Genomic DNA, 19,368 nt, shown 5'->3' on the forward strand with positions numbered 1-19,368 from the left:
CCCAAGCTTTGAGAAGATCACAGGTCAATGCTCTCAAATATCAGCCACACTTAAACAGTGCCTTTTCTGTGCCAGGCACTGTTCTAAGGGCTCCCGCATATCATTTATTTAACCCTCACAAGAACCCCATGAGGCGGCGCTCTTATCTCTGTCTTTCAGATGCAGAAACTGAGGCGTGGTGCGGGTAAGTAGCTCCACATAGCCAGAGACTGAGAGCTGAGGCCCAACGGGCCTCTGGTGAGCAGTGGCTCCACAGGCTGGGCTCTTAACCACTCCACTAGTTCCCTTCGGTGAAGTGATGAGGACAAGTGCTTGTCTAGAGAGGGGGCAGGAATGCCATCTGTTGTTAGGATGAAAGGTGCTATGTCCCAGACCTATGAACCTCCATATTAACAAACACGCTTTAGCGAATGGTTTCCCCAGTAAAAGGCAAGAAGCAGTAAGAAGACAGCCACCCTGCAGTGTGGACCTGGGCTCTGGGGGCAGGCGGGGAGGCTCGCCAAGTGGTATGCAGCTCTCACGAAGCCCTGCCGTGCTCCTCTGGAATTTGTGTCTCAGCACAATGACAAATTACCATGGCATGGACTCAGGGTCCCTAAATCCCGGGCGACCTCTTTTAAACTGTTATGTAAATTACCTCATTAACTCAGTCGAGGATTTTTTTTTTTTACATGGTTTTTCTTTTTTTTCCCCTGCTCTAATGTTTCACGAACATTCAATGTTGGTTTTGGTTTTAATTTTTAAACTTCCTAATCTAATCACACCAGGAGCCAGAAGCTGTTTTTCCATATCAATGCTTTGATAAGAGACAAGAAAGCAAAAGCCATTTTTCTAGCCCCTGAAAACTTCTCCCCATTTCTTTCAGCTCTTTCAAATTTTAGACTTAACCACTCTGCATTTGCAATGCCATAAACTGTACCGGGACTCCCAGCACTGGGTCTCACTCAATATCTTTTTAATGGGCCTCGTGCCTCTGTTCTTTCCAAACAAAACACTTTTTCCCTTACATTAAAGCAGAACTGGTCGTTTTAGTCAAGTTCTTCTTCTTTAATACGAGGAAATGCAGAGAAGGTCCCTGAAAGGAATGAAGCCTTTTCTTAAAGCATTCCATTTCCACCTGCCAGGTCCAGAAGGCTTCACTCGTGTCTTGTATGCCAGAGTCATGTCATGCTCCTGCCGGCATCAACCTGAGGAGCTCTCCCTGGCCTCCTCTGCCAGCTGTTATCTGCCTGCATCAAACCTCACTGTCCTCATGTCATCTGCTCTGAGGATGAGGGCCAGCTTCACAGAACTCCGGAAATCACCAGGTCCTAGTCTCCAGTTGTATAAACTGCACTGCCCTGGGCTCCTAATTCCTTCAAGTTTGTTGTGTTGTATTTTTTTTTTTTTTTTTTTTTGACACAGAGTCTTGCTCTGTTGCCCAGGTTGGAGTGCAGTGGTGTGATCTCGGCTCACTGCAACCTCTGCCTCCCGGGTTCCAGCAATTCTCTTGCCTCAGCCACCCGAGTTGCTGGGATTACAGGCATGTGCCACCACGCCTGGCTAATTTTGTATTTTTAGTAGAGATGGGGTTTCTCCAGGTAAGTCAGGCTGGTCTCAAACTCCCAACCTCAGGTGATCCGCCCACCTCGGCCTCCCAAAGTGCTGGGATTACAGGTGTGAGCCACCGCGCCCGGCCCTGTGTTGTGTTGCATTCTTAACCGGACCAGATACACCTCCCTATAGGGAGCCCACAGTACAACCCCGTGCTCAAGGCCCACCTCTTCCCTCCTCTCTCTCCTCGAGCCTGTGGGTCTTCTCTGCACCCTTCCACCTTGTGGCATTCCCCTGCTTCTAAGGGTAAGTGCTCCCTAACTGTTTGGGTGCTGGTTTGGAGGGCATAGAGAATTTGGGAGCTTTAAATTAGGTTGATGGCTGGACAAAATGAAGAATAACATTTCATGCCACGTGAAAATGATATGAAATCAACTTTCAGCACCCATAAATAAAACTCTGTTGGGACACAACCATGCTCATTCACTCACATATTTGTCTGTAGCTGCTTTCACACCACAATGGCTGCAAAGCCAAAGATATTTACTATCTGGTCCCTTATTGAAAAAGTGTACAAAAGGCCATTGAGGATCTCTTGAGGCCAAGAGTTTCAGATCAGCTTGGGCAACAAAGAGACCTCATCTCTACAAAAATTTTAGGCCAGGCACAGTGGCTCATGCCTGTAATCTCAGTACTTCAGGAGGCCGAGGCGGGTGGATCACCTGAGGTCAGAAGTTTGAGACCAGCCTGACCAATATGGTGAAACCCGTCTCTACTAAAAATACAAAAATTAGCCAGGCGTGGTGGCGGGCGCCTGTAGCTCCAGCTACTCGGGTGGCTGAGATAGGAGAATTGCTTGAACCCGGGAGGTGGAGGTTGCAGTGAGCCAAGATCATGCCACTGCACTCCAGCCTGGGCGACAGAGCAAGACTCTGTCTCAAAAAAAAAAAAAAATTAGAAATTAGCCAGGCGTGGTGGCATGTGGCTGTAGTCCCAACTACTCAGGAGGCTGAGGCAGGAGGACTGCTTGGGCCCAGGAGGTTGAGGCTGCAGCGAGCTACGATCACACCACTGCCCTTCAGCCTGGACAACACAGTGAAACCCTGTCTCTAAAATAAAGAAATAAATAAATAAGTTTGGGGCTAGCATTCCTACTAAATTCACACACACCAGATTGTGCAGTATTCAAACATGTGAACTGAAATGGTCTGAAAAACATGTTCTTTCTAGCAGGTGGCAGTTTGGTTTGGAAACCACATTCAACACAAAGTCTTGCCTCCCTCGCTGGATGTCTTGGCAACACATCTGGGACTTGACCAAGCAAATTAAGGCCAGGGTCTTGTAATATTTTAGAGACACTATCAAGTTGTTGGCCATCCCTGAATGAGCTCTGAACCTTGTCTGAATTTCTTTGTGCTTTATTATGTTCCCATCTCTTGTGCTCTCAGTTGAGAGCCACAAGCAAAACAATAAAGTTTATTTTTGGAGTCTTAAAACCGTCTATTAACTTAGTTCCTCAGTGTTCCCCTGGCTCCCCTCTCACCTGAGCCTGATCCCTCCATCTTTAGCCACTCCTCATTCTACATTTCTTACTTTTCAAAGCACCCCACTTAAGACTTACCCACACTGTGCCACTTCTCCCTGCTTTTCAAAAATCGTCTAATGAGTTAATTAATCAACTAATAGCATCACTATAAGGAGACAAGCCCTACTATCTAACTTTCCAGATAGTATAAGCTTTTTTAAGGCCAGACACAGTGACTCATGCCTGTAATCCCAGCACTTTGGGAGGCTGAGGCAGGAGGATTGCTGGAGGCCAGGAGTTAAAGACCAGCCTGGGCAACAAAGAGAAACCCCGTCTCTATTTTTTAAAATTAAAAACTTTTTTAAAAGGAGAAAAATGAGTTTTTAAAAAATCGAGGTATAATTTACATGCAACTAAATATACAGACCTGAAGGTAGAGCATCAAGGAGTCTAACAATTGGGTGTTTCAAGAGTTACCTTTTTTTTCTTTCTTTCTTTTTTTTTTTGAGACAGAGTCTTGCTCTGTCACCTAGGCTGGAGTGCAGTGGCATGATCTCGGCTCACTGCAACCTCCGCCTCCCGGGTTCAAGCTATTCTCCTGCCTCAGCCTCTTAAGTAGCTGGGACTACAGGCACACACCACACCATGCCCGGCTAATTTTTGTATTTTTAGTAGAGACAAGGTTTCACCATGATAGCCAGGCTGGTCTCAAACCCTTGACCTCAAGTGATCTGGCCGCCTTGGCCTCCCAAAGTGCTGGGATTACAGGCATGAGCCACCATGCCTGGCCAAGAGTTACATTTTGGAGAGTGATTATAGCACTAGATGGGGGAGCCAGGACAGCATGTTTTATTAGAAGACTAGAAAATAACGTGGGAAGAGTGTCCAAGCCCTGGTTCTGACTCTCCCAACTGTGTGCCACTTCATCTCTCAGCCCTCCATTTCCTCAGCTGAAAAATAAGGAGGTTAGATCAAACGGCTTCTGAAAGCCCCCTTAGTCCTATTCTCTGTCATAAAATAGGATATGTATGCAAGCCAGTAGAGAAGTGGGGAGATGATGTCCTTCAACTCTGCCTAGGATGGGAGCAGCTCACTGCCTCATCCGTGGAGTTCATTCAACATGCAGTTCTTTTTCTTTTTCTTTTCTTTTGTTTTTTTTTTTTTTTTTGAGACAGGGTCTCACTCTATTGCCCAGACTGGAGTGCGGTGGTACAATCATGGCTCACTGCAGCCTCAACTCCCTGGGCTCAAGCAATCCTCCTGCCTCAGCCTCCTGAGTAGCTGGGACTACAGGTGTATGCCACCACACCTGGCTGATTTTTTAAAAATTTTTTTGTAGAGACAGGGTCTCACTATGTTGCCCAGGCTGAAAGGTTCTTGTTTGGACCAGAATTCAACAGACTATGGCCCAGCCCACAGTCATGGGATCCCCCTGACTGTTTCTGTTTGGCCCTTGAACTAAGAATGGTTTTTACATTTTAAATTGGTTGAAAAAATTAAATCAAAGAATATTATTTCATGCCACATGAAAATGATATGGAATCAACTTTCAGCGCCCATAGATAAAGTTTTGCTGGGACACAGCCGTGCTCGTTCACTCACATATTTGCCTGTAGCTGTTTACACACCACAATGGCTACAAAGCCAAAAATATTTACTAACTGGCCCTTTATTGAAAAAGTTTACCAACCCATAGTTAAGTCCTAATAAAGACTTCAGACCTGGGCACTATATACACAAGTAAATCAACATTCGAAGTAGAAAACGTTTTCACTTTTTAGCAATGAACAGAAATAGGGCTCTTTTTGTTTCCATTAATACAGCAAGAAGAAAAATAATCCTACCAAAAAGACTAGGGAAAGCAGGGACACAAGTACAGTGAATGTCATTATGACCTTGCTCAGCCCTTCTTTCCAACAGTCTGGCAGAATTATCAGTCATAAAAGTGTTCATACCCTTTGACCTAATAATCCAACTCCTGGAAATCTATACTAAGGAAATATTCAAAAGAACGAAAACACTGTGTCAGGATGTTCGATTCAGCATTTTTCTAACAAAATGCCAGAAACCATGTGAAGTGTTTTATCAGTAGGAAATGAATCAGCAGAATATGCCTCCTTAACGCGATTAAATACTATATGCACAGATCATAGACAGGAAGACCAGATACAGGAAAAAGTGATGCCACCAGAAAAGACTACATAAAAACTAATCTTGATGAAGTCTGGAAAAGACCATGGATATGCAGTTAATACTCAGATACAGGATTATAGATAATACAGTTTAGAAAAAATCTTCTTTCTTTTTTTAATTGACAATAATTATACATATTTATGGGGCACATAGTGATATTTCAATACATATAATGTATAGTGATCAAATCAGGGTAATTATTTTGAATCCTTTAACAAATCTCTCCCTCTTCCTCAAAATGTCTCATTTCTAAGGACCCTTGAATCAGCTTTGATAATTCTACACACACTGTCATTAGCCCTTTTATAGGAAAAGGCCTTTGCAGATGAAGACAACACATAGAACACAGGAAGGGAACTTCTAGGAACACACTGCTTATAAGTAGGGCAAATAATCATTACCAGTACTTTTGTCCAAATCAATTCAAACCTATAATCTCCACTTCAGAAAAAGTGAATTCATAGTTTTCATAACCCTTAAGGAATTAACAGGTTATTAAGAAAAAAAGAGGAATTGTTCTTGAATATAAAAGTTAGGCTCGGCTGGGTGCAGTAGCTCACGCCCATAATCCCAGCACCTTGGGAGGCCGAGGCAGGAGGATCACCCTAAGTCAGGAATTCCAGACTAGCCTGGCCAAGGTGGTGAAACCCCACATCAAATAAAATACAAAAAATTAGCCAGGCATAGTAGCGCATGCCTGTACTCTCGGCTACTCGAGAGGCTGAGGCAGGAGAATCGGTTGAACCTGGGAGGCGGAGGTTGCAGTGAGCCGAGATGGTGTCACTGCACTCCAGCCTGGGTGACAAGAGCAAAACTCTGTCTCAAAAAGAGAAAAAAAAAAAAAAAGGCTCACTCTAGTCATCCATCCACTGCGGCTATCAATATCTTTAGGCTGTGACCCTATTTCAAGGCATTATTTTTTACTAGAGGACTCTTTACTTTCCTGTTTTTCTATTTAATCCAAGCATTGTAACTACTGGCCTATAAGTCAAATTTAAATGAAAAAAATGAGTAGCATTTCAATGCTTTCTATCAAAATTGTTAATTGTTTTCACAGGCAATGTAGGCAAATGTATTTTGTTCATAGCATTCTTGCAAAAATGTGCTGACTTGGAAAAAAGTCTACAAAAGAAATATGCCAATACGGGATGGGGGAATCCTACAAAAGAAATGTACCAGCTTATAAAAACATAAATAAATACATAAAATTCTACAAAAGAAATATGTTGACTAGGAGAAAAAAAAACGTTCATAAAACACTATCGGCCAGGCACGGCGGCTCATGCCTGCAATCTCAGCACTTTGGGAGGCTGAGGCGGGTAGATCACTTGAGGTTGGGGGTTCGAGACCAGCCTGACCAACATGGAGAAACCCCGTCTCTACTAAAAATACACAAAATTAGGAGGGCGTGGTGGCACATGCCTGTAATCTCAGCTACTTGGGAGGCTGAGGCAGGAGAATCACTTGAACCTGGGAGACGGAGGTTGCAGTGAGCCGAGATCACACCACTGCACTCCAACCTGGGCAACAAGAGTGAAACTCCGTCTCAAAAAACAAAAGAAAACAAAAAAACACTATCATGCTATATGTTTTGATATTTGTATGCCACTCAGTAGAGCCTTGCACAGTGGTCACATTCTTATCTCTGGCACAGCCTTTTTTGGAGACCTGTGGAAGACAGTGCTGCACAAGTGGGAGGGCACAAGTTCATATATCACATACTTCTTGGAAACTATGAAGCACAACTTAAATTTAAGGCAACATACTTTTCTTTCCCTTTAGAAAAAGGACTTTTTAAAAAATTAAGGAGAAAAAATTAAAGAAATTGTTGCCTGGAAACAACCCAAATGTCCACCAGCTGAGGAATGGATAAACAAAATGTGGTCTATCCATACAATGGAATATTATTTGGCCATTAAAAGGAATGAAGTACTGATACATGCTACAATGTGGATGTAGCAAAAAAACATTATGCTAGAAGAAAGGAGACAGACCAGGCATGGTGGCTCACGCCTGTAATCCCAGCACTTCAGGAGGCCAAGGTGGGCAGATCACCTGAGGTCAGGAGTTCGAGACCAGTGTGGCCAACGAAACCCCGTCTCTACTAAAAATACAAAAATCAGCCAGGCGTGGTAGTGGGTGCCTGTAATCCCAGCTACTCAGGAGGCTGAGGCAGGAGAATCGCTTAAACCCAGGAGGTGAAGGTTGCGGTGAGCCGAGATCATGCCACTGCACTCCAGCCTGGGCAACAGAGTGAGACTATCTCAAAAAAAGAAAAAAGAAAGAAAGAAGCCAGACACAAAAGACCACAAATCATATGGTTCCATTTACATGAAATGTCCATAATGGGCAAACCTATAGACAGAAAGTAGATTAGTGGTTGCCAGGGGCTGGCGGGAAGTAGGGATGGTGACAGCTAATGGGCACAGGGTTTCTACAGGAGGTGATGAAAATATCCTAAAATTGCGGTGATGGTTGCACAATTCTGTGAATGCACTAAAAAAATCAGTGAATTGGGCCGGGCGCGGTGGCTCACGCCTGTAATCCCAGCACTTTGGGAGGCCGAGGCGGGCAGATCACGAGGTCAGGAGATCAAGACTATCCCGGCTAACACGGTGAAACCCCATCTCTACTAAAAATACAAAAAAAAATAGCCGGCAGGCGCCTGTAGTCCCAGCTACTTGGGAGGCTGAGGCAGGAGAATGGCGTGAACCTGGGAGGCGGAGCTTGCAGTGAGCCGAGATTTCGCCACTGCACTCCAGCCTGGGCGACAGAGCCAGACTCCGTCTCAAAAAAAAATAAAAAATAAAAAATAAAATCAGTGAATTGTACACTACTAATAGACAAATTATATGATGTATTATATCTCAATAAAGTTGTTTTCAAAATTTTTCAAAACAAGCTTTGCTGCTGTGTTTAAGATTCATGAAAATCATCAAATCATCAATATTTTTATGTCTACTGTGAAGAAAAACAAATTTTACTTTTTAAATTGAGACGGAGTCTCACTATGTTGCCCAGCTGGTCTCCGACTCCTGGGCTCAAGCAATCCTCCCACCTCAGCCTCCCAAGCAGCTGGGACTACAGGCACATTACACCACATCCAGCACTAAGAAAAACAAATCTTTTTTACCCAGGCTGGAGTGCAGTGGCACCATCATGGCTCACTGCAGCCTCAACCTCTTGGGCTCAGGTGATCGTCCCGCTTCAGCCTCCCAAGTGGCTGGGACCACAGGCATGAGCCACCATGCCAGGCTAATTTTTGTATTTTTTGTAGAGGCAGGGTCTCCCCATGTTGCCAAGGCTGGTCTTGAATTCCTGGGCTCAAGCAATCTGCCGGCCACAGCCTCCCAAAGTGCTGGTGTGAGCCAGTGCGACTGGCCAAGAAAAATCTTAAATCAGACTTATATCTATCAAATTTTTAACTATATTGAGTACAATGCTCTTTTTAAAAACTTAGTACAATTATCACTGAATCTTTCTCAATAGATATAATTTTAGGACATTAATTTTTCACCAACCATTTTTTGTCACGTAGGCAATTACTTGAACAAAGTTTCATAGAATCTGAAGACACCTGAAAGCTACAGAATTGCTAACATTCATGAAGAAAAAAAGTTCTTATATAGTATGTGTAAGGAAAAATGTTAGTGACTTAGAGAACAATGGCTTTTTATGCAGAGAAAGGAGGAAACTGTATTCACTTTGAAGCCTTTCCTTTTTTAATTTCATTCTGGCTAGGAAGCTTTCTATTCCTTAGAAGGTTTATATTCATCTTTAAAGGAAAAGCTCATATTTCTGGTCTTACTCTTTCTTGAGTTAAGAAGGCATTTTTCTGAAGAATTCTTGCCGGGCGTGGTGACTCACGCCTGTAATCCCAGCACTTTGGGAGGCCGAGGCGGGCAGATCATGAGGTCAGGAGATCAAGACCATCCTGGCTAACACTGTGAAACCCCATCTCTACTAAAAATACAAAAAATTAGCCGGGCGCGGTGGTAGGCGCCTGTAGTCCCAGCTACTCGGGAGGCTGAGGCAGGAGAATGACGTCAACCCAGGAGGCGGAGCTTGCAGTGAGCCGAAATCGTGCCACTGCACTCCAGCCTGGGTGACAGAGCGAGACTCTGTCTCAAAAAAAAAAAAAAAAAAGAATTCTTATAACTTCACAGGATTCTAAGGGATTCTTATAATTTCACGAAAATGACACTGAACACTCACAATTCCTGAGCTCCCTCTCTGCATCCGGTCCCCTTAGCAATCTGCCTTCCCCTTTTGTCACATTTCTTCCCCTTGTTTTGAGGCCCTAGGAGGGCAGGGCTGGTATCTGTCCTGGTCACTATTATATCTGCACATGGCACAGAGTGGGCACTCAAGATACATTTATTAAATTGAATTAAAGGCTTTAGTTTGTTTTAAACAATAAGTTATTCTTATATAATATGCTAATTTATGAAAAAGTTCCACAGAAATTAGAATTAACCTTATGGGGAGTGGAAAGATCAGCAAATATCAAATGGCGAGCCATCTCCCCACACTGGGGCTGCCAGGGAACAGAGAAATACGCTTCTGAGGTGCATAACTGCCCTCCTACTCGGAAGTTCATTTGTGAGTCACTAAGACCAGGCAAACAGACATTAAACAGGGAACCGGTTCAAATGTAATGGAGAGAACTGTGGATTCAAAAGAACTGAGTGTGAATCAGTCCAAGTCCCAGTCCAAGTTCATCTCCAGGAGCATCGGTAACTCACAAAACAGCCCAATGAACAGGGAGTCACGCAGATCAAATGCGGAGGGGCATTCAGTGTGTTCTACTGAGGCCAGCCCAAGGGACAAGCTTACTAGGGAGAAGAATGCCCAGAGCAGAGGGTCAGTGAGGGCAGGGGAGATGGGAAGAGAGAGAATCAGGGCCCTCCGAGGATGCTGGAAGGGGCAGGGGGAGTCTCCACCACCCAGAGTGCTGGGCACCTGCAGTCACATGAGCCACATCCAACATCTTGTAAAATAAACAATATGGGAAACTTACTTAATATTGAATTTTCAGTTTTGAAAACAGTTCTTCTTATTCCCAGTCTCATTGTTCCTCCCAAATTGCCAGGGTTGTGCTCGGGCATATCAATCACCTTAGAAAACAAAACAAGTCCAGTTTTGCCATCTTGTAAAAATGTCATTTCCCAAATTTCAAGCTTTACGTTTAAAGGAATGATCATTGGGTAAGCATGGTCCCTAAACTATAACATTTGATCAGTCTTTCCAACGATCATGTTCAAATACAGGCATGACATAGACACACTGCACATTGTACTTCCTTTCCATCTGCTTCTCATCTTTCATTTAAATCACTTATAAAACAATGTATCAGGAGCATCTTGATGATGTCCCTCCTGCCATTACTCAAACCATCAGTTCCAAGTAGTCCTCACACTTCGAGATCTGGATTGCTGAGGCCTCCCACTTCGGTGTTCACATCTTTCATGATAACCCTCTTCCCCCACTGCCCAGTGCATTCCCTAAAGATTTTCCATAAGCAAATCTATCAGTACTTGTACTGTGGAAAGGTATACCAAAAGAACCTATTTATAGAAAACCATTAGAGGGATTCCAAAAAAAGAGAAAGAAAGAAAGAAAGAAAGAGAAAGGAAAAGAAAAGGAAAAGAAAAGAAAGAAAGAAAGAAAGAAAGAAAGAAAGAAAGAAAGAAAGAAAGAAAGAAGAAAAGAAAAGGAAAAGAAAAGAAAAGAAAGAAAGAAGTATCATCCAGTCTAGCACACTCTGTAGGTCGGAAACTTAAGTGGCACCCTTGATCGCTCCCTCTCCCTCATAGCCACTCTGTCAAGTCCTGTGGATTTATCCCCTCCAGAATTCCCGCATCCATCCACTTCTCTCCAGCCTTCTCCCAGGCTACAGCAATGGCTCACTGACTGGCCACTCAACATTCCCATGGCCCCAGCACACCCTACCTACTGCAGGCAGAGTGGTCTATTCACACAGCAAATCTTAGTGCGGCATTTTTCCTGCTTGAAACCCTTGACCTCATGGTATCAGGCCAGCCTAACCGTCCAGCCTTATCTTATATTCCCTGCCCCTCTCACCCTGAGTGCTGGTTCTTTGAGTTTTTCAACTGCATCTCCTTTCCTCCCGCCGTGGCGACTTGGCCCACACTGTGCCCTCTGCCTGGACAATCTCCTCCCATTCCTCTGCCCTCTTTTCCTAAATGAAACCATGCTTAACCCTGAAATCTTAGCTCCACTATCCAACATCAGCCACTCCAGGAGCTGGTATTTCTGGGAGCCATAGCTGAGTCAGGGTCCTCTCTCTGTGCCCTCACAGAACGAGGTTCTTCCCCATCCCTGCCTTTCTCTCAGTTTGTGTCTGGCGAGTGCTTTGTGGGAGAGACAGTCAATCTTTGAGAGCCGGAGTGGCTTTATATTTATGATCACAATCGCACTGCAGAAATTGAGAAACAGGTGATTTTTATGAAAAGCCTATCCTGGTGAGTCTCGTAATTCATCTGTTTTCTCAGTTCTGTTCACTACGATCTCATGGTTTCATCTCATCTTCTTTTTTAAAGTTGTTAGAACAGACTACAGTTGGGTGAGTCGACCTGTTCTAATGGAATTGCTTGAGCTTCCCTCTCATAAAACCTTTCATTTGTTGTTGTTGTTTTTTTCCCATACCGTAATTGCCACATATTGCTCTACAGGAATCTTTGACAACTGGAATTTTCTGAGGTAAAAAATTCCCAACAAAATGTCTGATCTTATCAGTGCCCCAGAACTTTCCGAGCCATCTGAACACAGTGTCCCAAGCTTGCTCCAAGAGTTACTTCAGGGAAAGGGTGGAGAAGAAACTCGATGACCTCCCTTGTTAGATGGACTGCTCAATTCTCAAGTGCTCTTGGCCTTGGCATCTTGTTCCTATCTTTGGTTAGCTAATTATGGCTAGGTTAAGTATTACTGGAGTGAGGTGAGATAGGGCATTCACTTCTGGCCGATGAAGCTGAGTTGCACATAGATGCCTGGCCTCTCTATGTATTCTCTAAATCAGGTAAGACTGCACCACCTGCCACAGATTCAGAAGTCCTACGTGTATTCAGAGCCTCAACTTCCATTTAAGTTTCAGACAACCTGAACCATCTAGGCAGACTACAGGGATAACCTCCCCTAATTTCTTGATAGAAGTGCACTACGACTCTTCAGTCTTCCTCACTGTGTTGGGTCCCAATACCCAATACCCAAGAAGAGTCTTTACATGTAGTTTGTTCAGTTACTGGCAAGGTTGGTATTCAAGAAATATTCTGGTATGAAGCATTGAGATTAGAGTAAAATTAGCCAACTAAGAACAGGAGGCCAGGTGCAGTGGCTCACGCCTGCAATCCCAACCCTTTGGGAGACCAAGGCAGACAGATCACTGGAGCCAGAAGTTCGAGACCAGCCTGGACAATATGGTCTCTACAAAAAATACAAAAATTAGCTGGGTGTGGTGGCACAGGCTGCAGTCCCAGCTATTCAGGAGGCTGAGGTGGAAAGATTGCTAGAGCCTAGGAGGCGGAGGTTGCAGTGAGCTATGATCACACCACTGCACTCCAGCCTGGATGACAGAGCAAGACCTTGTCTCAAAAATGTAAACAAAAGAAAAGAAAAAGAACAGGAAATCTGCCTTACTGCTTACTTGGGATGAACTTGACAAACACTTGAAGACCAGAAAATATTTCCAAAAGTCAAGTGTAGGGGTGGGAGGTGGGGAGAGAAGGAAAATGCAGTGGGCATAGGGGCTGCCTAAGAGCATTAAAAACTCCTTCAACAAAGCGGGAGAAGTCTAAAAAGTCCTCAAAGAATACTATGAGATTATTTAGCAACATGGAGACAAACACAGAGAAAGAGCTAGAAGAAGCTAAAGAGTGGTACAGAGGGAGTGAGGATTAATGACTTTGTCATTATAGGCTTTTCAGAACTGTTGGCTTTTTAAACTTTGCACATCGTATTTTACTAATGAAAATACAAGTTTAAGTCATCAAGAGTAAAATGTAGTATTTAGGCCTTACACTAGGGTATTAGTTCACATTATCCCTGCTGTTTTCAGAAGTAATAAACGCTACCTTCTCCTGAAATGATAGCACAGAAAGAAAATCCAAGGTATAAATGCCACTGTGATCCTCTGATTAAAACATGCTAGCGTAGGAACCAGTGGAGAAGGCAAAAAATGCTAGAGAAGAGGTGGGAAGCAGGTGAAAATAGGTCTCCAGTACCAAATGTTGCCCTGAACATCAGTGAAAGGAGAAAAGCAGGGAGAGAATTGACAGGCAAGTCGCTGATGGAGGGAGGGAACAGGAAGGTTCTGTGTGGGCCTAGCTTAGGAGATCTCATCTGGGAATCACCATCACATACTCAGGCAAAGAACGCTGCCAGGCACCAGCTGGTGGAACCCCAACACTCAGGAAGCGGAAGGTCAGGGCAAGGCAGAGACTATGGTGCCCAAGCCTGACACACCAGCTGCCTTGCAGAGTTATCAGATGATCCTACAAGCTGGATCCTACAAGATGATGATGGCTGGCTGCCTCTTGGGTTATAAGCAACCTGATTCAGCAGCAAAAATTAACAAAAATGTCTTTGTTCCTTGCATTCCTTCCACTAAAAGCCTGAGAGACAGGAGAACATCACAGTTTCAAAACATATCTATTTTATTGTTACTGGGGTGGTTAAAGAAAATAATCTCAAATATGCTTTAGATTTAACACCAACATTTCCAAAATACTCTAGATTTTTGCATCTGAAAGGAAAACGCATCTTCCATTGCAAAAGGATTGCCTTTGCTTCCTCTAATTCAGCCTAAATACTGGCTGTCATCTGATCCCCAGATTTGTCCTCTCTTGGAACTGAGCCATATAGTATGAGAAAAATAAAAAAGGATCAATAAGTGATAAAGCTTTAGGAGATGTAAAATCAGCATGTAAGGATAAATATGGCACTAATTAACCTTTACTGATGTTTTCTGCAGCCCATAATAAAAGTGTAATGAGTTCAAGACTTTACAGCATCCCAGGTGCCTTAAACAACAAAGTCTACAGGAGTTAGGTTCTCTTAGCAACAGTGAAATTCCTGACTGGACCTACCTGACCTACCCTGGTAAGCCCAGCTTTCCTTTTGTTCCTCATCGTTGAATATTTCACCTGGAGACAAAGGGAAAGCCTACTCACCAGCAGCTATTTCTATTTCCAGACTCTTAGGCAACATACAGCAATTTCCTCTAGCATTTTTTTTTTCCACTTTGTAGCATCGGGGTTTCATCATGTTGCCCAGGCTGGTCTTGAATTCCTGGGCTGAAGCAATCCGCCCACCTCAGCCTCCCAAAGTGCTGGGATTATAGGCATGAGCCACCACGCCCGGCCTCCTCTAGTATTCTTTACAAGTATTCTCCAATTCATTCCTTTCCTACTGCTCATTAGGTTTTCAAGCCTGATTCTGATTTTGATTCTAAGTCATATTCAAATTGTACATAAAGTATCAAGCAGTTTTACATCAGCATTACTTTCCCTAATGTTGGGTTGCACTGCTAGCTCCAGCAGCCTCCATCACTACAGACTAAACCTAAACTCTTCTGGGTGGCTCTCAGGTCCTACCTCACACAGGAGCCCAGACTAGCCATGCCCTCCTCATGTATTCGAACCTGTAGCTTCTACCACAGCTAGCTGGGGCCATTGTCAATGGCACCTCCACTCTCCTACCCACCACCATACTACACACAGACCACCTCCTTCTCTACTTTTCCCAAGATACCTTCTCCCTCCCATTCCTCATGCTTTAGGGGCCCCCTCCAGTTCCCCTTACTGCCTCATAATTAATGCCATTGTTATGCTCAGCCTACCAAATAAATAACCTATACATCATCAATTCATTTTCAGTAACTCATAGTAGGAGACTGAATAATGCCTCCCCTACCCTAAAGATATCCGCATCCTAGTCCCTGAAACCTATGAATCTGTGGCAAAAGGGACTTTGCAGATGTGATTAAGTTGAGGATCTTTTTTTTTTTTTGAGACAGGATCTCACTCTGTCTCCAAGGCTGGGGTGCAGTGGCATGATCATAGCTCATTACAGCCTCTGACTCCTGGCTTCAAGTGATCCTCCCACCTCAGCCTTCCAAGTAGCTGGGGCCACAGGTGCATGCCACCATGCCCGGCTAATTTTTTGGTATTTTTTTGTAGAGATGGGGTTTCGCCATGTTGCCCAGGCTGGTCTGGAACTCCTGGCTTCAAATGATCCTCCAGCCTTGGCCTCCCAAAGTTCTGGGATTACAGGAATTAGCCACCATGCCCAGCCTGTAAATTGAGGCTCTTGAGAAGGGAAGATTCTGGATTATCAGGGTGGGCCCATTGTAACCACAAAGGCTCTTAAAACAGGAAGGCAGGAGGGTCAGGGTCAGAAAAGGGGATATGACCACAAAGCAGAGATCAGAGAGACTGGAAGATGCTATGCTGCTGGCTTTGAAGATGGAGGATGGCCGTGGGCAAGTGGCCTCTAGAAGCTGGAAAAAGCAAGGAAATGGATTCTCTCGTACACCCTCCAGAAGGAACACTGCCCTGCCAACCCACTTTATATCTCTGACTTCCAGAAGAAATGTATATGTGTTTTAAGCCACTGTGTTTGTGGTAATTTGTTACAACAGCCATAGGAATCTAATACCGTTATTTACTACAAACAGCTTTAACTTCCTCTATTATTTCATAAATGCATCTCCTCTCATAAATTAAGTGTAGGCTCATCAAGCACAAGGATTAGATCTTTTTATTTTCCATCTCCACTGAGGAGTTCGACACAGTGTCAAGTTCAGATCAAGTACTCAATAATGGAATCTCTCAGTGTTTTTTGTTTTTTGTTTTTTTGAGACGGAGTCTTGCTCTGTCGCCCAGGCTGGAGTGCAGTGGCACGATCTCGGCTCACTGCAAGCTCCGCCTCCCGGGTTCACGCCATTCTCCTGCCTCAGCCTCCTGAGTAGCTGGGACTACAGGCGCCCGCCACCATGCCCGGCTAACTTTTTTTTTTTTTTTTGTATTTTTAGTAGAGACGGGGTTTCACCGTGTTAGCCAGGATGGTCTCGATCTCCTGACCCTGTGAACCACACGCCTCAGCCTCCCAAAGTGCTAGGATTACAGGCATGAGCCACTGTACCCGGCCTGGAATCTCACAGTGTTTTAAGTGTATTAAAAACTAACAGGGGAGACTAAGGGATGGGTCAGTGGGCCACAGAGTAGCAGAGGGGTGTCTGAGATACTCATGGATGTCCCAAGTTGCAGGTGAGTCTCTTCAGCAGACGGGAAGGGAGGGGTGGTGCCCTACTCAGAGGCCGAGTACACACTATGCCCAGTCCTGCCTGACAGAGTCCTGCCTCTAACCTGAAGCAGTTTATTTCCCATTTCTGGCTTCCAACCTGCGCTGCTGTGTCACCAAGTAGTGTGAGAATGGAATCTACAATGAGGAAATCAATGAGCAGTCCCATAAGTACGTATGTATTTTTCCAGTCTTTTAAACTTGTTTTTTTCCCCACCAGTAAAAGAAAGCTGCTATGGTTTGAATGCATTCCCCAAAGTTGATGTGTTGCAAGCTTAATCCTCAGTGCAACAGTGTTGAGAGGTGGAATCTTTAAGAAGCAATTAAGTTATAAGGGCTCTGCCCCCATGAATGGATTAATGCCATTATCATTGGAATGGGTTAGTTATCATGGGAATGGGTTCCTGGTAAAAGGATGAGTTCAGTCCCCTTCCCTCTCTCTCACCCATGTGATGCCTTCTACCACATGATGACACAGCAAGAAGGCCCTCACCAGATGCCAGCACCTTGATCTGGGACTTCCCAGCCACCCTCCAGAACTGTGAGGAAATAAATTTCTCTTCTTTATAAATTAGCCAGTCTCAGGTACTCTGTTATAGCAGTGCAAAACAGACAAAGGCCTATATCATTTTCATCAGGAAAAGAACTTTCTTACACCTCAGAAAAAGAACCTTCTTATACCTCCAGATGTAAACCTAACACTTAAGTGTGATACTACCTGTGGTCCTAATGTTAACATACAATGGTTGTCCTCAGAGAAGCCCTTCTCCTGGGAGGGGCATGTGGCACGGTGGTTGAGGGTGCAGGCTGGGCCTGAACTTGAATCCCAGCTCTACTGCTGACCAGCAGTGTGACCCTGAGCAGGTCCTTGGATGTCTCTACAGACTGGGGGGACCAACAGCATCCACTTCATAAAGTTGCAGCAAGGATTTAAGGAGGCCGTGGGAGTTGGGTGCCTAGGTCAGCACACTGCCCATAGTAAAGATACGCACTCAAGAAGCACAGGCTATGGTCAGGAGACCTCTGGGAACTCAACTGCTGAAGGTGAGCACAGGCTGACCCAAAAGACAGTGAGCCTCACAGCCCAGGCAAAGGTTGGAAGTGAACTTTGTCTGAAGGTCCAGGGAAGGTAGACACCAGGTCAGGTGACAAGCAAGCTATACTTTCTGGGAAAGCAGCATTTGAGTATTCAAGGTCTCTTTTAAACTTCAGGATCAAAGATAACAAGAACCCATGGATAGCATTTCACACCCATTTTGTTTTGCAGGGACCAGGTACTAACACTGTACCCTCTTCCTGAAGGTGCTTTTCAAGACATTGCATGCTGTCACCTTCAAGCAGAATAACCCACAGAAGCCTGTGGTGCCCAGAGCTCTTAAAATATGTTACTCTTGGCTTTCCTAGGAAAAATTAAGCCTGTCCAAAGATCAAACAATTGAACAGTGAGGTGATAAATAACCTTTGCCTCTCCATTTTCCCATTACCACCCTTGTGCCTGTCGTTTCCCCCCTTCTCTGGTTTCAAAACGCACTCTTGTGAACACACCCTGTAATTATCACTTGTCTCCATATATTTTTAGTTAATGTTTCACAAGAGTATCTATTAGTGGATTTTTCATGCTTCCAAGTGCAAGTTTACCCTCATGCTTTTAAGTCTATGGGTAAAGAGAAAAATAAGAGACAAGAGATGTGACTGGTAGAAGTGAGCAAGTAAAAACTTAAGAAGCCGCACAGGCTGTTTTTCAAGTTCAAGTTTTGCTAGCATTCGCTACAAGTATAAATTCTGACAATAGGCAGCATTGGGCCCATTCTTTTTTTTTTTTTTTTTTTTTTTTTTTTTGAGACAAAGTTTCGCTCTTATTGCCCAGGCTGGAGTGTAATGGCAGGATCTCAGCTCAACGCAACTTCCACCTCCCGGGTTCAAGCAATTCTCCTGCCTCAGTTTCCCGAGTAGCTGGAATTACAAACATGCACCACCACGCCTGGCTAATTTTTGTATTTTTAGTAGAGATGAGGTTTCTCCATGTTGGTCAGGCTGGTCTCGAACTCCTGACCTCAGGTGATCCGCCCACCTCGGCCTCCCAAAGTGCTGGGATTATAGGCGTGAACCACCGTGCCCGGCCGCATTGGGCTGATTCTAATCAGAAGTTGTCCCTTGAAAGAAGAGATTTGTAGCCTAGAAGACTATTAACCAATACTGCTCCAAAAGTTTTTCTTAGAGATAATTTTTATATATACATACACACGTCATATGTAATATATGGGTGTATTATATAGAACATGTTATCTTTCATCCTATATCGTTACTAAGATGACATATAGTTATTAAAATCATTTCTTCAGATGCAAAAAATAGGCCAGGTGCAGTGGCTCACGCCTGTAATCCCAGCAGTTTGGGAGACTGAGGCGGGCAGATCATTTGAGCCCAGGAGTTGGAGACCATCCTGGGCAACATGGCAAAACCCATGTTGTATTTTTCTACAAGAAATACACAAAATATATATATATGTATCCGGGCATGGTGGCACATGCCTGTAGTCCCAGCTACTCGGGAGGCTGAGGTAGGAGGATCACCTGAGCCCATGGAGGTTGAGGCTGCAGTGAGCTGTGTTCACGCCACTGCACTCCAACCTGAGTGACACAGTGAAGTGGCTTCAAAAAAATAAACAAAAAAACCAGATGCAAAACATAATAAACACCCCATTTGATTTTAGCTCACTAGTGGTAATTTGAGAGAAAAGATGATTTAAGATGCTATTCAACAATTGGAGAGATTTGACGTGGGCTATGATAATGGCA

The 19,368-nt window shown here is 44.2% G+C and overlaps 1 protein-coding gene across 10 annotated transcripts in view, besides 2 other annotated features; it reads right to left on the minus strand.

Annotated features, from left to right (window-relative positions):
* The window catches only part of CTPS2 (CTP synthase 2), a 124,912-nt gene that overhangs the window by 40,877 nt on the left and 64,667 nt on the right, over nt 1-19,368 (minus strand). For 9 of the 10 annotated variants that reach the window (NM_019857.5, XM_006724503.4, XM_047442260.1 and 6 more), the window contains one exon: nt 10,272-10,368. In NM_019857.5, coding sequence (NP_062831.3) covers nt 10,272-10,368 — 97 coding nt within the window. Of the gene's footprint in view, nt 1-10,271; nt 10,369-19,368 lie in introns of those variants that run through there. The other variant, XM_047442262.1, reaches the window with a different exon arrangement.
* Nucleotides 852-1,499: an enhancer, noted in NCBI's record as "H3K27ac-H3K4me1 hESC enhancer chrX:16647850-16648497 (GRCh37/hg19 assembly coordinates)". NCBI's record gives its function as "activates a minimal SCP1, AML or CMV promoter by ChIP-STARR-seq in primed H9 embryonic stem cells {active_cell/tissue: H9 hESC(primed)}" and the evidence as "EXISTENCE:reporter gene assay evidence [ECO:0000049][PMID:30033119]".
* Nucleotides 1,500-2,146: an enhancer, noted in NCBI's record as "H3K27ac-H3K4me1 hESC enhancer chrX:16648498-16649144 (GRCh37/hg19 assembly coordinates)". NCBI's record gives its function as "activates a minimal SCP1, AML or CMV promoter by ChIP-STARR-seq in primed H9 embryonic stem cells {active_cell/tissue: H9 hESC(primed)}" and the evidence as "EXISTENCE:reporter gene assay evidence [ECO:0000049][PMID:30033119]".

The sequence above is a fragment of the Homo sapiens genome, chromosome X, assembly GCF_000001405.40.
Source record: "Homo sapiens chromosome X, GRCh38.p14 Primary Assembly".
Taxonomy (NCBI): domain Eukaryota; kingdom Metazoa; phylum Chordata; class Mammalia; order Primates; family Hominidae; genus Homo; species Homo sapiens.